Genomic DNA, 19,103 nt, shown 5'->3' with positions numbered 1-19,103 from the left:
CAAATTTAGCCCATCCTTCTAGGTCTAACGTTTATGTCACCTCCTTTAAGAAGCATATCTTGTGTTCTCTCCCTTCTCTAAAATTTTATATACATCCCTTAAACATATAATGTTTATATATTCTCCGCCTTCAACTCCCATCCTCAGGCTATTTTATTCACGTTTATGAGATTTGCTGTTTAGCTCAGTATTTTGTGGATTTTCAAAAGATTCCACTCAATTTACCGAGCACCTACGCACCAGACATTTTATTAGGTACAAGGAAAAGCGTTAAATAGATATAATCACGGCCTCCAAGAAATTGAACCTAGTAAGAGACACGAATAAGCAGACATTCAAGTGAGCTTTAGGAGACTTGGTTTGGTAGTGAAGACAGTCTCATGTGTGTTAACAGCTTACAGCACTGAAAAATAAGAGACAGAAGGGAACAAATCCGTTTCAAACAGTTCAAAGGAGGAAAGAGAGGGAAAGGTGGTTTAGATACAGCTAAATCATAAATAGCCTGATAATCTAACCCTGTGATAATCCAAGTACAGCCACAGCACCTGCCTCAGAATCACTTGGAAGGCTTGTGAGGAGTAAAAACGCAGATTCATACCTACTGAAATTAGAATGGAGAAACGGACATTTAAGTCTGCATTTTAAACACATTCCCCAGGTACTGAGGCCATTCCAAGTTTTAGAACAGAGCACAGCCAATTTTCGCAGACCTTGTTCCTCAAGTACTCCCTCCTTCTAGCCGGAGGGTGGCCTGCAGCATGTCCCTTCCCTTCCCACCGCCGAAGCTGTCCATCCAGTTTCTGAATGGCGGCCCACAGACCGCACGGCTTTACGAGAGAGGAACACAGCGCCCACCCGCCAAACAGCCACACAGGGATCGGAGGCCGGACCCGCAAAGGATTCGGGGAAAAACGCATCGAGCCAATCCGAAGGGCGAGAGCGGCCCTAGATTGGGGGGGCGGGGGGGCGTTAGGAGGTGGGCGGGGCACAGAAAAAAAATTTTTTTTTCCTTGATTGACGTAAAACCTACCCAATGAAAATAGAACTGGTAAAGCTTCCGCCCCCTAATAGGCAGAACCATAGCGACATTTCAACCAATCCAGCTCAAAAGTGTCTATGTTGTGGGAGGTCCCTGAGGCCGCTGAGGTCGTTCGTGTCTGTTGAACGGCTGTGGGCGTCTTGCTGCCTTGGGTAGGGGGTTAAAATCGTTCTTGAGAGGAACGTCTCTGTGCGAAGAGATAATGAGTTTAGCTCTGAGGTCGGTAATAAGGAGGCGGCAGTGCTCTCCACACCCCGGAGCGGGGCCCAGGGAGGGTGTGTGTGGAAGGGAGGACGTTTGGGGCCGAGGCGAGGCAGGGGATGTAGTTTGGGACGCGGGAAAGGAGCCTAGGGCAGCCTGCCCGGATCACTCACCCTCTGGGCTCTGATGCCCTGCAGGGAACGAGACCAGTGCATTTCTGCTAAGGAGGTTATTTCTGTCAGCGCGTAGGGCTTTGGACTGCCAGAAGGTTGGGCTTAGTTGCGAGCGAGGTGGGAATGAAATATCGCGAGGCTTCTACTCTTGTTTCTCAGATCAGGTCGCGGACATCCCTTCATTCATCCGTGTGCCTGGTCAGGGCCCCACCTCGGCTGCTCCGCTGCTAATGCAATCACCCACCTATAAATTTTGGAAATAACAAAAACTCTTTCCTCTTCTCCCAGGGCCCTGCTTTACGGTGTAATTGGAGACCCATTTTAGTGACTTTAATTGGCAGTCTGTCTCTTGGATTTCCTAAATTTCTTGCATTTTTTTACCTTTCAGTTCTAACCTCTAACCCTCTGTTGCCCTCTCCCACTATGTAGACGTTGTACCGTAAAACTATCCATACACTTACGACACTCCGAAAATATTCCATGTTCTGCTAAGGGATAATCATGGTACCCTTGGATGGGGTCAGGGGTGGGTCGGTTCTGGACTTGGCCTCCAAAAGTCTCAGGAAGGAAAAGACTGACCCCAGGAATACCCAAGTTTGTGTCAAGTCAGGTCTCATGAAAGGAAGATCTTCCTCAGCTTTGTTATACTGCACCTACTAGTCACTTCCTAGCTTTTTTTTTTTTTTTTTGGAGCTTTCAGAGACCAAAACGACTTTCAAATGCAACTAGATAGGTGTTTTAAGTACAGTCAACTGGTTTGACATGTTAATGTGTTACCGGATTGTGTTTCAAAACTCGTTATTCCAGTGTTGCGGCTCCATTTGAAAATTTGGAGCACATTTAGATGGGCAGCTCTTAAGGAAAACATTTCTGGCTTTAAAATAATTTTTGCTTTTTTTCTTTAAGCGTTTCCAGAGTTTATGAGAAGTTAACCTCCGGTTTACATGTTAAATGAGACAAGACTCATCACATTTTTATATAGAATGAAGCACAAACATTGTATATTGGCATCTAATATTTGTCATATGTTTAGACTCATTAATATTTTCGATGGTTTGTTAATATCAATGGAGGAAATGACACATAAATTGCCAAACTGTTAAAAACGTGTAATCTAAAAACATTTTGAACCAACAGTGCTAAAATACTGTATAAGTTAATTCACTTTTTTTTTGTAATTTTATGAACATAATTATCAGAACTATCAACAGTAAACCGATATATAGTGATTGTCAGTTATGAATTTTGGTTTCATTTGGAGATTTTTTTTAAATTCTTTAACATTCTTGTAGGATAACGTGTTTTTGTTTTTTTGGTTGGAGTTGGTTGGAGTTTCAGACATAAAAGTAGTGTTGCTTATTCACAGTTCTTGTTTCTTCCACAGTAACATTAGTGGGAATAAATAAAAAGCTGGGAAAAAGAAAAGTTTGGTCCTCATTTCTTTTAATAATCTGTAACACTCTTTAGTTTTGCGAAGTTCAGATTTATAGCAATTTAGACTATGGAATAAACAGGTCATTGACTCATAAAGGGAAAGTTTCCCTATCTTTCTCCAAAGTACTTTCTTTTTTGAAATTTAGAAGGTAATTATTGGCTAATTTCTGTTAGTAAAGAGAATTAAAGTGGACTAAGGGCTTTTTCTTTCCATTTCATAGAAGTGAGCTTGTAGTGGACAAAACAAAGAGGAAAAAAAGAAGAGAACTGTCTGAGGAACAGAAACAAGAAATTAAAGATGCTTTTGAACTATTTGATACAGACAAAGATGAAGCAATAGATTATCATGAATTAAAGGTAATGGTATACTTTAAAATATTTGTTTCTGTGTTAAAATGATTTGCATTTTTACAGTTGCTTTACATTACATTTCTAAATAATTATTTTAACTAAATTGGTTTTGGAACTATGAAGGCATTTTAAGCATTCATAGTTAGATGCTGTAATAAAACTGAAGAGAACTCCTAACATAGTTTTTAGAAAATCTTTTTCACATGAGAAAACGAATAGTATTTTAAATGTAAAAATACATTCCCAGGGAAGGTGCTTATTTTTCACTGTCATAATTAAAGGATTTCAAACTGGAATTTATTCTTACCATCTTCTTTTCACTGTTTTTTGTTTTTGTTTTTGTTTCTTGGTGACTCATACTGTTTTCAGACTGTGGGAGTGTTGTCTTTTAATCTTATAATTTGGATTTGTTAGTAACATAGTCTCAATCCACTTTCTCTGGTGCAAACAACTTTAGTGCTGTTTGATGTTGACACATGCTAATAGGTAAAAATGTCAGCTTTAAGACCTAGAATGTCAAAGTGTAGGGAGAGATTTGTAAATTATTATTTGTCAGGGTATAAGGAGAGATTTGGGTTTAGGGTAGAATGGGACTTACTTTCAGCACAGTGGGAAAGATAGTATTTTGAGATTTTTAATGGCCTTAATGGATAGGTGAATGTAAGTGTTTATTTGGTAGTTTTAATTTTTGTAATTTCGTAAGGGATTTTTAAGCATTAGAATTCCAAGTAGGGATAGGAACTATGCAGTGACAGGATAGAATGTATAAAAGCAGTTAATAGGCCTGCTAAGTCTAGCTTTCTCAATCTTGCAGTCCTCTTTGGCTCTCTTTTCCCACTGTTTTTTTTGTTTTTTTTTTTTTTTGGTTACCCAGATTTGATCTTCCTTTATAATGTCTGTTCCATTTGTAACCATTGACTATCTTGGTTTGGGACCTTATTTCATACCTGGAGCTTCCTAAATGATTTCTTACTAGTTCACCTTGTACACTACCACTGAATTTAGATAGTTTAAAAATTCTTTCACCATTGCTCATAAATTGTTCATTGCTCATAAACCATAACTCCTCATTGTATACTACTTAAAGTTCAGATTCCTTTGCTTTCTACTGAATGTTCTCTACACTTTTGCCACCAACTACTTTTTTCATTTGCTAACTGCTTTCTTCCTCCTGAACTCTTCTAATTAAGGTGGAATTCACCTCCTAATTCAGGTGAGCAGTTTACCTCACCTGAACTTTTCTAATTCAGGTGAGGTAAACTGCTCTGTTCATTGTCCTTCGAACCTATTCGTTTCAGTGTTTCTTTTAATACCAGTCATCCTTCCCAAATACCCTACTGCTCCTCTTCATCTATCCTTCAAGGAACAGTTTGAATCTTTCCAAATAAGACTTCTCTAGTCAGTAATATGTCTCCTTCCTTATTATTAGTAACAAAATCTCTTTTTTCTCTAAACTCAGGGTCCTTAGCCCTATCATTTACCTGGTAACTAATCATGGAAAGACTGATGATAATTCTTGTTTTAATGTTTTATCTCTTCTATCATGTAACTGTTTAATATTTATGCCACGCCTTTTTCTCATTTTGATTGTTAATCCCTTCAGAACAAATAACAATCAAATTATCTGTGCAATAAGTTAGTGCATTTTATATAGTAAAATCTGTAAACACTTGTTGGTTACTTTGTCATATAAAAAATGCAATTTATAAATGAAAAAACTTATGCATACTTAATTTCAGTAGTGAAGAACAATTACACTATCACTGCTATTTTAAAGAGGTAAAACATGCAAAAAAGTTATATTTTATTAATGTGTTGTCATCTCTTAAGATGTAAAAACTTAATAATTAGAAATTCTTTTGTAAAGAGTGCTTTATAATTTGCTTTTCCTTTTTAATCCAAAAGGTGGCAATGAGAGCCTTGGGGTTTGATGTAAAAAAAGCTGATGTACTGAAGATTCTTAAAGATTATGACAGAGAAGCCACAGGGAAAATCACCTTTGAAGATTTTAATGAAGTTGGTGTGTATTTTAATAGTCTTTGTAATCAGCAGCTGTTAGGAAATTGTCTGATTAATATCACTTTTTAAATTTTAAATTCTCTAGGTTATGGAATTTTCTTATAGAACACTGGTGTATAATGTGACTCTTACTCAGTTTTGTTTTGTTGGTTTTTTTTTCAAAGAAAAAATATGGCTTTGCTCTGAGATTTATAGTTTTGTCTTTTGTTTTGTTGTGAAGATTCTAACCAAGGAACTATTGTGTAGCTTTTTATAGAAAGATGCTTTTCCAAGTTGTTTGTATTTATATTATGTGATAAAACTTGAAGGGTGATCAAAAAATTATTTTTGCTTAATAAAACAGAAAATTTGATATCCTGCTGTTTGGAAAATGTTTCCCAAGACCTTTCTGGTATGTGATTTTTGTTGGCTAAGTGGGAGAAGAGGGAACTGGTAGTAGTTGGTATCTTTGGCTGTAGATGAAATGCACGACTTCAGGTTGACAAAGTTTATGAGAGGCTACATCCTCTGGATGACCTTGATCTCAGTGGATAAAGTCATCTGTTTAGAGGGTAGTAGTAAAGGAGGCAGTGGGCATACTGGAAGCAGGAGAAAACATCCTAGTACCACCAACTGAAGATAATGTGTCATAGGCTTAATATGGCTAAATTTTTTTATAGTTGATTTTAGTGAATTATTTATAGCATATATAGACCAGGCTTTTTCAAAATAGAAGAGTCCGGAAGGCAAGGATGTTGCTATTATAACTTAAATGTATTGTCTAGAATATTATCTACAAAATATGTAAATATTCAGGTTTATTTCTTTTTTTTTTTTTCTCTAAACCAATGGGTCACGATATAAGCACATCATATAAGTATTTTAAGATATTTTAAAAATTTGGAAACAAATTCTGCTATATACACAAACCCCTTATTTTAAATATTAATCAAGAAGCAATAGGGGAAGCAAAAAGAAATGGCAATTAGTAGACGCAGAGAAAATTTAGATTCATGTCATTAGTCAGTTTTTTAAATCCAAAAGCTCAAGTCATAAGCAGTTGAGATGGAAAATAAATGATGAACCTAAGAGAAAAAAAACACAGCACAGAAGATCCTCAACTTATGAACTAATATATGACTGTTTAGAGAGGCAACTTGTCCATTGGGGACATTTTCCTTTTTTCCTCTAATTTGTAGAATTAATTATTTGAGGAAAGGGAGAGAGCCACCTTTTGTTCTCCCAGAATGGACACTCTCCTGAAGTTTATGATCGTAGTATTCCTAGTTTTACCTTAGATTGTTTATTTGTAGAAACAAGGTGTTTGTATATAGTGGAAATGGTACTATTAGGAAGGAGCTATAATCCAGGTATGTTTAGTACAGTATAGTGGTTTAGCACTTGGAACCAGATTCCCTTGGTTCATACCTTGGTTTTGCCACTTTACAGCTCTGGAACTTGGTCTTTTTAATACCCCATGCCTCATTTTCAACTATAAAGTGGGGATCATTGTATTCTCTCATGAGATTCTTCTAAGGATTAAGTTAATGATATGTGAAGTACCTAGAAAAGGGCCTAGCATGTTGTAAGTGCTACTAAGCATTTGCTATTATTATTACTTTAAAAAATTGTCTTTGTTTCAGGGGCTCGAAATAATCATATATGCATCACTGGGACATAAAATAGACTTTGTGTATATTTTTTATTGACTTTTTTCATAAAGGCTATTGTAAGCACTGTATCATCACTAATAATTTTACAAAATATGTTATTTCACCTTAAATGAACACAATTTAAAAATTGTGATTTTTTTTTTTTTTTTTTTTTTTTTCTTTTGAGACAGAGTCTCGCTCTGTCGCCCAGGCTGGAGTGCAGTGGCGGGATCTCGGCTCACTGCAAGCTCCGCCTCCCGGGTTCACGCCATTCTCCTGCCTCAGCCTCCCAAGTAGCTGGGACTACAGGCGCCCGCCACTACGCCCGGCTAATTTTTTGTATTTTTAGTAGAGACGGGGTTTCACCGTTTTAGCCGGGATGGTCTCGATCTCCTGACCTCGTGATCCGCCCGCCTCGGCCTCCCAAAGTGCTGGGATTACAGGCGTGAGCCACCGCGCCCGGCCAAAAATTGTGATTTTTATTGGCAGTTGGGACCAGAATCCCATGCCACCTCCACTTTTTCCTGACACCCCATCTGTTCTATGTTATTAACAGAGCAGAAATACTGGGTTCCTTCTAGAATAAATAGATGTGGCTAAACTTCAGCTTTGACACTAAAAGATTAACCTTTTGACAGGGTCAACATGTATCTTAGCTATCTTAAGGCTACCTATGGAGAGTACCAGGTGTCAAATAAAAATGTATTACTGTTTGGGAATCATTCAGGAACTATGTATTACCCCTTTTGTTGATTATTTTTAACTAATCACTGACCACAGATTAATATGTTTTATACTTTGGGACAGATGATTCTAAATCATAACATTTGAGTCCTAGTTTTATGAACTACCCAAGGACACTGTTCCACAGATATATCTGGATGAAGTTTGGCAGTTAACTATTATAGACTCTTCCTAGTACTGGAAAAAAGCTTTAAAATATATTTAATTTAAGTTTAGAGTCAAGACAGCCTGAGGCTAGTGAGTAACATAGATATTTTAGGAATTAGTGTCTTTAAGACTAACATAAGTCAAACGTTTGTACACTATTTTTGACATGTACTACTTATTATTGCTGATTGAGATTGTAATACTGTATTATTGTCTTCATTTTGCTTATTTAACACTGAATTTTTTGGTATTAGGTACTGTACTGGGGTTGGGAAGAAGACTTAATTAAAAGTTACTAAAAGGTTCTTCTTTCAGGGAGTTTACAATGTAAATATAGGTGACAACAGGCTATAGTACTATGTGGTAAATTGTAATTTTGTCTAGGACAGAAGTCAGCAACTATAGCCTTTGGACCAAATTCAGCTGCTGCTTGTACACCACCACACCCCTTCTTTTATGCAGCTTTTGTGCTACTATGGCAGAGTGAGTAGTTAGAGACTTTATGGCCCTCTACAAAGCCTAAAATATTTACTATTGGCCTTTTACAGGAAAGATTTGTTAATCCCTGATCTAGAGGAATTGAAGTCTTTGCAGAGGAGATTTTAAATTTAGGCCTTTGGAAATGTGAGTAAGATTTCATTCCAAGATTGCCAGGAAGAGTAGAGAAAAAGCATTCTAGGCTTAGAAAGCAGCAACAACAAAGAATGGTACTAGACGGATAGCATGTTTGGGAAACTAGGTAGTGTTCTGGGCTAGACATAGGGAAATGACTGGAAACATAGGATTGGGCCAGATTGGTAAAGTCTTGCAAAACATGAAGATTTTGAATTCTAGTCAGCAGAGATCATTCACAATTTTTAAGGGAAGGGGATATGATATGTTTGAGAAAGAAAACTGATGAGAGTATTATTGATGATGAGTTGGAAGGAAGAGAGACTGCAGACAGAAAATACTATTTTTTTCGCTGAGGATGGCGAGGGTGAAAAGAAAATACATTTAAGAATAAAAAAGAGGCTGGGCTTGGTGGCTCATGCCTGTAATCCCAGCACTTTGGGAGGTCAAGGCGGGAGGATTGCTCGCTCACAGGAGTTTGAGACCAGCTGGGGCAACAAAGTGAGATCCTGTCTCTACAAAAAAATTTTAAAAAATTAGCCAGACATGATGGCACATGCCTGTAGTCCCAGCTACTTTGGAGGTTGAGGTGGGAAGATTGCTTGAGCCCAGGAGTTGAGGCTGCAGTAAGCTGGGATCACGCCATTGCACTCCAGCCTGGGCAACAGAGCGAGACCTTGTTTTAAAACAATAAATAAATTAGAAAAAAAACAGTATTCTCAGTACTATAGGACCTGATTAAGTTTGTGGGACTGAAAATGATTTATGCTTTTCAAATATGGAATCTAGCTGTAAATGTTGCTGTTATCTTTTGGTTGGGGTAGGGGAGGCAGCTGCAGTTACTATGGTGGTAGTGGAATGAGTTTGGAGTCCAACATGTCTAACTGGTATGTTTGGATAGAAATTTCCGAAAGACATTGAGAAATACAGTTAAAGCTGTATTTCTAGCATTACCTATAATAATTTTTAATTTACTTTTGATGTGATGTTTTTGGATTTGCCGTATTCTTAAGTGATTTTTACACATTAAAGGTCTAAGAAAGTATTTTGATGAAGTACATTTCTGATAGTATGTGTAATTAAATCATTTGAAAATACAGTTGCATGGACAGAAATTTGGAGTTTTGTGAAATAAATGAAACCCACCTTAACTGCCTCTATATCAGTTTACTAATATTTTCATTGAAAATAAATATATTCCTTATAATTAAATTCTACTTTGTGGAACAAGAATAGAACCTGAAGGCATGGAGGAGAGTCATTATAAAGTTATATATTAGGTAATGTTTTTGCTGTCCAAAATGATGAGCATTTATAATTCCCAAGAAAAGCTGCATTTTAAGGAAGAATATTGATAAAAGAATATATAGACACATAGCTCTGAAATAACTAACACAATTAAAGTACCAGTGGGATAAGAATTTATACATCTTGGAGCCCCATCTGTTCCCCAATCACCCTGTTGCTTCTTTAAGTACATTAATACTTTCAGCAAGCTGCTTTTTTGGTTCACCTGTCATGTAAATTATTTAATTGGTGAAGAAAATTTCTTAACACTTTTTTTCCTTGTCCTGCTTTTTTGTTGGGACTAAATTCAAAATAAGTTGAGTATGTGCCATAGAGTTAAGTGTGGTATTTTATTTTGGTGTTATGGCTGTAGATATGCCAGCTTCTTTTTGACTGAATATTTATGAGCTTTGATGATTTGCATACTTACAGTAATATACTTCAATTAGTTACTTGGAAGCCTTTTTGGATAAAATTAATGGATAAAAGGAAACTATTGAAAATATGTGTAGATGATATAATAGTCATTTGAATAGGTGATTATTGAACCAAATACGGGTGAAACAGCAGCAAAACAACAGCTTGTTGGAGACTTCGATTGTATTTTTTTCATTCTGGGTTCCTTAAACATTCCAGTATTTTCCATCTATAAGCAGTTGCTTTTTTTTTTTTTTTTAATGATTCTGTAACCTTCAACAGGACCGAGTTATTTTTAATAGCATAGTAAAGGCCATAAATACCTTTTCTTGTAGTGGCAGATAGTGTATATAATTACTTCAGAGATACTTATTTAGATACTGTTAGAATTTTATTTAGTAACTTACCAATTTTTATGCCATAGATTTTTATTTTAATTTTTATTGTGGCTATTGATTAAAGACTGGTAAAATTGAAAATACTTAAGCTTATTACTATGTTATTACATGTGATTATATTTAGTGTATTAAAATACACAATTACCATTGAGGTTTGAAACTACATTTATTTTTAGTTAGTTGTCTGAGAGTGATTTATCCAAACAAAATGGGTAAGCTTTAAGGAGACCTTCTTTGCAGAGGTTTTTTTTGGGTGGGCTTTCCTGCTATAGTCAGATTTGATCCTATTTACTACTTTGTAAATTTTGGAAAACCAAGAGGTTCTTCTAATCACAAAGGTATTAGTGGAATTTTCAAATGCTGTCTGAGATTGTGCCTGTGTCTGCGATGGCAGTACTTTTTGTCTCTTGCAGTTTTTCTTGTTTTGAAGTTGGATTAAATTTGAGGAAGAATCAGTGTTAGTATGACGTTTAGTCAGCAAGCAGCTTTTATTTAGTTAGCTCCAATTATTTTGTTGGTATGTCTCTCCACAGGTAGATGACACACTCCTTGTGTGCTTGATGTCAGTGGAGCCTAGTACAATTCTTGATAATAGTAGATCTTAAATAAATATGGTATAAATGTAGTCCTTTTTATTTTGCCTCTGTGTGATATAGTTTTGCTTACTTTTATAATAAGACAAGTTGCTCATGATAAAAAAGGTTAACATTTAAAATATGGATTTGATTTTTCTAATTTCAGGTTTATCTCGGGGTTTGGGGATCTCATTTGACATTTTATTGTCAGACTAAAAGTTGACAGTCACAGCTTTAATTCTCATCTAATATTTAGTTGATTTCACAAATGAATGCCTTTGTGATTATGCAGGTTTATTAAAATATATATGTTTTTAAACTGTAGTGACAGACTGGATATTGGAAAGAGATCCCCATGAAGAAATACTCAAGGCATTTAAACTATTTGATGATGATGATTCAGGTAAAATAAGCTTGAGGAATTTGCGACGTGTTGCTAGAGAATTGGGTGAAAACATGAGTGATGAAGAACTTCGAGCTATGATAGAAGAATTTGACAAAGATGGTGATGGAGAAAGTAAGTTTTAAGTGAAACGTATTTTCCAGGTTTTCCTGATGCTACACATGTAATACATTTTTCTAAAACCAAATGACTTGCAAGACTTTTTTGTAAACTTAACTGCTTCTTGTAATGGACCTTCTGTCTAAATAATTCACATATTCAATTTAGAATGAAGCAGATCTCTAAAACCAATTATACTTCAAGAAGGTCCTTCACTTTTCTCTGAAGGTGAAACCACCAAAATTTCAGCCTTTCAATATAATTTCAGTCTTTAATGGCTTCTCCCTCAACCTACATGCTAAGTTCTAAGTTCTATTGATTTTCCCCTTCAAATGTTTTGAATCTGTTTTTATCTTTGTCCATTGTGGCTGTCCTAGTTCAGGCCCTAATTTCTAGTTAGGAATGTTATAATGGCCTCATTTATTCTTGCCTTGGCTGCCTACTGGGTGCAGTGTCCTGCGTGTTGACTGGTGCTACACAATGAAAAAGGCAGATGTGGTTCTTGCTTTCACTTTGCAGTCTCTTGTAGTGTCCTAATTGCCCTTTCGGCATATAAAAGTCTCTAATCTCTTCTTCAGTCTCTTGGTATCATTCTTTTCCTAAAATATACATTTGATAATGCCATTTCTGTGTTTAGACACTTGAAACGATTCTTCAGTGCCTACAGAGTAAAGTTCAAAGCCTTCTATGATCTATCCCACCTTGAGTAACTGATTTTACTTTCCAGTGTATTCTTTCACTTTTCTTCTTTAACCCTCACCTCCTGTATGTACACATTTTGTCAACATATGCTATCCTGAAAACACATTTTTATGCTATTCGTTTCATCCTGCTGTTTCTTAATCTTAGAATGCTCTAATTGTTAATTTCTGCCTGCTAAAATGTGATTCATTCTCTCAGGTAAATATTAAACACCATCTTTTTCCCAAAAGCTTCCCATAACGCTCTATGAATCATGAGACTTCCATTGAAGGCCTATAGCATTTAGAGAAACAAATTGTTTTGATACTTTCATACACTTAATATGGAATCTTTTGGCTGGAAACTAAGTTTTGTTGAGATAAAAACCACTTTATTTGTATGTTAAACTGCTAAAGATTAGACCTTGCTGTCTTTTTTGTGGACTTTAGTGTTCTTCTCTCTTTGTGACTTTTTCATGCTTTTCAGTATCTAAGAGCAATGAAATTTTAAAAATATTGGGTATATAGAATAATAAACATGGTGAATGTGAAGTTAAAGGTAAATAAGATGTACTACAAGATAGACATAAAGCTGTGGTAATGATACAGAAAGAGTCACTTCCCCCTGCCCCCTCAACAGCATATATAAAATAAAACACAGCACATCTTTTGGAAAAAATGAAAGGAACGTTTTGAAAAGCCAGAATGGATAATCTTTTAAATAATGATGATGTTTTTTAACATTTATTTAGCAGCTACTATATTGGATATTAGCATTAATTATGTCACTTAATTTCCATAATAACTTGTAAAGTAGATATAGTATTATACCTATACATGTGTATAATAGATGCATATATAGAGATGAGGAAGCTAAAGCTTTGAGAGATTATTAATCTGCCCAGGTTATCACAAAGCTAATACTGTACATGGTAGAGCCAGAACTCAAAATCAAATCTCCAAAATGGCAAAGAATGTGCTTTTAAACGTAATATTGTATTGCCTTTCGGGCTATGAAGTAAAATATTAACTAGACTTCTATGTTTATGGAGTTTTAAAAATTACATGCTATTATAGGAAGCAGTGTATTAGCAACATACTCAGTTGGAACTTCCAATTCTAAGATTTGCTTTTCCCCTTCAAAGCCAGATGGTCTCTAAGGTACTTAATCTACTTAGTTCTGTAAAATTCTTATTGTTAGCAACTTGTAATAAGATTTGCTCTATGAAATGGTTGATGTATGAAAAATTTTGTTAAAGAAGGCAGTATAAAAGGAAACAAAGTGTCATATTTTCTTGATTCAATAAATGTTTTACCAAAGCTTATTTTAAGCTAGGCATTGTGGTAGATTTATTAGATATAGGAACTTGATATAAGATATTGTTAATAGAGAAGGTTATAAAATCAAATGCACAGAGATATAGAAGATTGTCTTTTAATTGTCTACAAGACAATTAAAGTAAAGTAGCTAGTTTAATTTCCTGAGCCACTTTCTAATTTTTACTTTCTTGGGTTTAAGTAGTGTGTTTTTAGGTATGAATCATGGAATTCAGTTGTCCCTTGATAAGCACAGGGGATTGGTTCCAAGTCGCTTAAGGATGCCAGAATCTATGGTGCTCAAGTCCCTTGTATAAAATGGCATAGTATTTTCATATAACTTTCACATATCCTCTTGTATACGTTAAATCATCTCTAGATTACTTATAATACCTAATACAATGTAAATGCTATGTAAATTGTTATACTTTATTTTATTTGTATTATTTTTTATTGTGTTATTTTCCCAAATATTTTTCATCTGCAGTTGGTTGAATCTGCAGATGTGAGGAACCTGTGGTTACAGAAGGCTGACCGTATTTTAAATACTTTTGAAATGCTATTATAGTTTAAAGTTTTTGTATATAAACAATATAAAAATTAAGTGTTTTGTGGTTTTCAAACTTATATATGAAACTTAAAATTTGCAGTTTGAGTATTGAAATTTTACAGATCAAGAAAAAGTTCTAGATCTTTAAGTAACAAGTACTTTTTGGATTTTGAATATTTTAATCATGGATGTATTACACTGTTAAAATGATTTGTAATCAAATCATTCTAAGGCTGTTTTATGTTTTTTCTCTTAATACAGTTCTTAAGAACATACTCTTGCTTCCTATTTGGTCTAGATGCCTCAGTCTAAATCGGGAGTTCTTCAGTGAAGGTGCACACTGGCTAAACTGATTAATAATTTTATATATTTGAACTGTATTTATTGGAAAGAGAGAGGGATCATAGCTTTCCTAAGATATTCAGACATGGCTATTTAACTGCAAAGGTTAAAGATCACTACATCAATTTGTAAGATTCTTGAAAGTAGTTTGGAGTATTACAGATTTTGTATTACGTTCTTACCATGTTTGTCATAGTGTTTTGTAGATGTTAAATACTGATTGCATGGCTTCATAGTTCCCTGTCAGCTTCTGGAGGGTGCATTTTTCCTAACTCATAGCTTATTTCTGTGAGGCATACACTATTCTTTCTTTGACTGTATTTCTGATGGTATTCTCCCACCCCAGCTCTCTTTCTACTTCCTTTCCAAATTCTGTATTTTTATTTTAGAGCCCAAGTAATGATTTACCTTTACCTAAATTTTTCTTATTAGTAATAATTTTTACCATTGTGAAGGATTTTTTTTCAACACTGATTTGGTCTTTGTTTTAATAATAAATAGTATTTTGTGTTATAAAACATTTGTTCTGTTTCAAGTATAAAAACTGACTAACATAGTTATCAAAACCGGTTTTCTATGTGGTTTCTAGAACCAGTGCAGTATATATTCTTTTCATTCCCTATGACCATGTTTTATCTCCTCAACATTTTTTAATTGGTTAATTTTTTCTAACTGTTCATTATGAATATTCTCAAACAGAAAAATTGTCAGACTAGTACAATGAACACCATTGTACCTTCTGCCTAGATTTAGTAATTAGTATTTTACCGCATTTGCTTTACCTGTCGTGTGTATATTTTTTTCTCAATCATTTGAAAATAAATTTCATATATCAAGAACTCAGTCTTTAGGCCAGGCACCATGGCCCATGCCTGTAATCCCAGCACTTTGGGAGGCTGAGGCAGGTGGATTGCTTGAGCCCAGGAGTTCAAGACCAGCCTTGGCAACATGGTGAAACCTAATCTCTACCAAAAATACAACGATTAGCCAGTCTCATAACCCGGTCTCTAAATTAATTAATTAATTAATTAAATTTTAATAATAAAACAAAAACTTGATCCTTTAATATTTTAGCATATCCATCTACTAAGAACAAGGATATATCTTTCATAAAGCTATGATACCAATGTTACACTTAAGAAAGTTAACAATAATTTTATAATATCATATAATATCTTTCTCATTTCGGTTTTAATGTATTCCAGAATAGGAAGCCTGGTGTCTGTTTTGATATATTACGCAACACTTATTGTGGTGTTGGCATTCACTAGCCACTTAAAAATGTTTGATTCAATGGAGTATTTTCATATAATACCTTCTATGGTAAATAAGAGTTAAACAATCTAAAACATCATCTCATAGTTCAGTGTTTTCAGATGAAGGAAATGAGATGCAGAGCTGTTCTGTGCAGAGCTGTGACTAGAGACCAGGTCTTAAGTCTCAGTGTAGTTTTCTTTTGGCATTATCAAAATTATCATTCATAATTTATGCATTGTTTAGGTATGTATTAAGTCTTAGGGCTAAATGCTAAATACTTACCAGAAGTATCTTCTGAACATTTTTCTTAATTGATACGTGCGCATATGTCGGGTTTTCAAAATTATATTCTATAAGATTATCTGATTTCTTATTTCTAGGTTGCTGTCTTAAACATTATGTTTTATAAATTGGAGATTCTTACTATATTTATAATTTTGGCAAACTAAAAATTAGTCCTTATCCATGATTATTTTCTGCCTTTACATCTATATAGTTACTGGATTACTTTGGTGATTAAGATTACATCTGTAATCTTTTCAAATTGCCATTTTTATTGATACCTTTGAGGTATGGTGACCTGGTTTTAATTATTCTTTAACATAGGCTTTTAAGTATATAAAAGTTCAAAAAATAATAATTTAACTTCTTTTTATAATTTTATTATATTTTCATTCTTTAGAAATCTAATTTACATGCATGATATGTTCAAGCTTACTTGTAAAGGAAGGATTTGCTAAATGAACTAGTAGAATAAAGATTATAAAGAGGGTTGTTTAAAGAACCTTGAAATGTCAAGCATTTAAAATGTTTTAGCAAGTATGTACAAATATGACTGTGATTGACTTTTTTGGTAACATTATCTTTTCCCCAGTTAATATTATAGAATACTAATTTGTAATGTTTATCACATTATATGTATTTTTGCATCCAAGAAGTTACATTTAATAAACATGTTCCACTTCCTAACAAAGAAGTAAAAGCAAAAAGCCATGTCTTAATGTAATAATTTTGCATAATGTAAAATTTTTTAAATACTTAGTGTAAAATGGTAGTCGTGGATTCTGAAAAAATAAAATGTTTATATTTCTGACTATTTCATTTTCTTTCTTACCACAGTAAACCAAGAGGAGTTCATTGCTATTATGACTGGTGACATTTAAAGAATTACAAGGATAAACACTAAGAATGTTGCAGTTACCATCTTATATTCTATTTTTGTGCCTGGAGCCATGTGAAAAAAACCAACTTAGTTCTTTTATCCTAAAGGACCAAAAATAAGCATCTTATATATCTGTATTTTACTACTGTTAAGTTTCTTTGTATGAACTGTGTTGTTAGTACTCAGATAGTTTAGCTTTGTATTTATAATAGAGCTTTTATATAAAGTTTTAAAAATTGAATGTGTGATATGTGTTCTTTGAAGGTTTTTTAATTTAACATTTATAGTCACTTTTTAGTGCACACATTTTCCAGACTTTCGTTAATAAAATATTTATTTTATTAGAATTTTAAAGTTTGGTAAATTTGTTTTTATTCCTAGTATCTGTTAACCCTCAAGAGTGGATTTCTTAAATCTTCCCTTTATAATTTTACTAGTTTCTGAAACAAAAATTGAAATACAATTAGCAATAGAGTGGCACATTTTTCCATTACCTAACATTTCATCAATTTTGACATTCTATATTTTAATACAAGCTGACTCAATATAAGCCTAATTCCTTTTTTAAGAGTCCTGTCTTTGAGTTTAGAAGGAATAAGTATTGTGCAGATAGACCCATTTATCCTTGTGTATTATGTTTCTTAACTTGGTATCATTGTAAGTATGAAAGTTAATTTTCTTCTGAATATTTCCTTAAACAAATTGAATGAATACAATTTGAATTTTCTAACTTCTTGACTGAGAGATTTAAATTTTGGAATTTTGATTTGTTAAGGTAATTATCACTCAATTACATGTCACAGTGATGAAAATAGAAAACTGTAAGCCACAGAAATAATTTAAGTCTATGTTTTACCTATATGAAGGAACAGTCTGTGATTCACCAGGAAATAGTAGAGACACAGTTTCCAAGTACTGGTGGGCTCTTCTGCCTTGTAGAAGTGTATGTTAGGGGGAAACAAGTGGTTATGGAGATCGATCATAGAAAAAAATAGTACCTATATGGATCCTTCACTCATATCTAGTACTCGGTGTTATGGGCTCTCCCAGGAACGGAATTGAGTTGTCTATTTCAGCAATCTTTCTTTAGAATTCTTGTTTTAAATTTTTAAGTTTAAAGTGTAGTATCATTTGAGGCGCTTTAAATGTTGTGAGCCTTTTAAGAGTATTACATTAAGGGTTGTCCACTAGAAATTTAACACAAAATCAGTAGGGAATACTATAGCAGTAGTGACATTTCAAACAGTTATCTAGGAAGCAAGTGTATATTAAGTCATTCTTGTATTGCTACGAAGAAATACCCAAGACTGCATATTTTATAAAGAAAAGAAGCTTAATTGGCTTACGGTTCTGCAGGCTTTACAGGAAGCATGGTGCTTCTGCTTTTGGGGAGGCCTCAGGAAGCTTACAGTCATGGTAGAAGGCAAAGGGGGAGCAGGCACATCACATGGTGAAAACCAGAGTGAACAAGTGAGAGAAGTGCCAAGTACTTTGAAACCACCAGATCTCATGAGAACTCACTATTGTGAGGACATCTAATCACCTCCCACCAGACCTCACCTCCAGTACTGGGGATTACAATTCAACATGATATTTGAGTGGGGACAGATATACAAACTATATCAGCAGGTTAACTAGAGTAAAACTTAATTTTGAATACAAATTCAATGGTCACAGTCATTATATTCAGGGCAACAGACCTTGAAATTAAAAAATTTTTGTCGCACACTGATGAGTTCCCTCTGTCTTGATCATGAAATATATTGATTTCCAGGAAAGTGAAAAATAAAACAGTAAAAGTAAATCTAGTTTTGTGAGTCTTCTGTGACTTTATTGGAACAGTGAAGCTATTTTTTTGCCACTTTACGGATATATTGTCTTTTTTCTTTCTTTCTTTTTTTTTTTTTGTTTGGGTCAGAATCTCATTCTGTCACCCAGGTTGGAGTGCCGTGACATGATCTCGGCTCACTGCAACCTCCGCCTCCTGGGTTCAAGCGATTGTCCTGCCTCAGCCTCCCAGGTAGCTGGGATTACAGGCGCCTGCCACCATGCCCAGCTAATTTTTGTATTTTTAGTAGAGGTCGGGTTTCACCATGTTGGCCAGGCTGATCTTGAACTCTTGACCTCAGGTGATCCGCCCACCTCAGCCTCCCAAAGTGCTGGGATTACAGGCATGAGTCACCCCGCCTGGCCGTCTTTTTTGTTAATATACATAGTTTCTTCTTGGGATACTAACACATTTGTTTCTTCTCTTACTGTGGGTTA

At 34.6% G+C, this 19,103-nt stretch overlaps 1 protein-coding gene and 1 long non-coding RNA gene across 4 annotated transcripts, besides 1 other annotated feature; one reads left to right on the top strand and one right to left on the bottom strand.

Moving 5' to 3' along the window:
• Positions 1-233: 233 nt before the first annotated feature.
• Positions 234-903, bottom strand: LOC731157 (uncharacterized). Its single transcript, NR_105024.1, has 2 exons — positions 599-903; positions 234-403 (listed from the first exon to the last, which is right to left on the bottom strand). It is a non-coding gene; the product is annotated as an uncharacterized LOC731157 (long non-coding RNA).
• CETN3 (centrin 3) lies at positions 1,147-18,646 on the top strand. Of its 3 annotated transcripts, none has more exons than NM_001297768.2 (6): positions 1,147-1,258; positions 3,069-3,204; positions 5,104-5,218; positions 11,354-11,431; positions 14,339-14,410; positions 16,796-18,646. In NM_001297768.2, the coding sequence occupies exons 1-6, from the start codon at positions 1,242-1,244 to the stop codon at positions 16,837-16,839; spliced, it is 462 nt and encodes a 153-aa protein (NP_001284697.1). In that variant the 5' UTR covers positions 1,147-1,241; the 3' UTR covers positions 16,840-18,646. The 3 variants fall into 3 exon arrangements, with proteins under 3 accessions (NP_001284697.1, NP_001284694.1, NP_004356.2); NM_001297765.2 differs by having other exon boundaries at positions 11,354-11,545; NM_004365.4 differs by lacking the exon at positions 14,339-14,410 and having other exon boundaries at positions 11,354-11,545.
• Positions 1,178-1,377: an enhancer, noted in NCBI's record as "active region_22777". NCBI's record gives its function as "activates an Ori minimal core promoter by ATAC-STARR-seq in GM12878 lymphoblastoid cells {active_cell/tissue: GM12878}" and the evidence as "EXISTENCE:reporter gene assay evidence [ECO:0000049][PMID:35858748]".
• Positions 18,647-19,103: the final 457 nt, after the last annotated feature.

The sequence above is a fragment of the Homo sapiens genome, chromosome 5, assembly GCF_000001405.40.
Source record: "Homo sapiens chromosome 5, GRCh38.p14 Primary Assembly".
Classification (NCBI taxonomy): Eukaryota; Metazoa; Chordata; class Mammalia; order Primates; family Hominidae; genus Homo; species Homo sapiens.
The sequence above is the reverse complement of the archived record's forward strand: the minus strand, read 5'-3'. Positions and strand labels throughout refer to the sequence as shown.

What these genes read in the sequence shown, in the direction of transcription:
- CETN3 (NM_001297765.2), top strand. An exon ending in CAAAGATGGTGATGGAGAAA is followed by an intron (nt 11,546 to 14,338) that starts GTAAGTTTTAAG and finishes CTCTTAATACAG; the next exon opens with TTCTTAAGAACATACTCTTG. An exon ending in TCGGGAGTTCTTCAGTGAAG is followed by an intron (nt 14,411 to 16,795) that starts GTGCACACTGGC and finishes TTCTTACCACAG; the next exon opens with TAAACCAAGAGGAGTTCATT.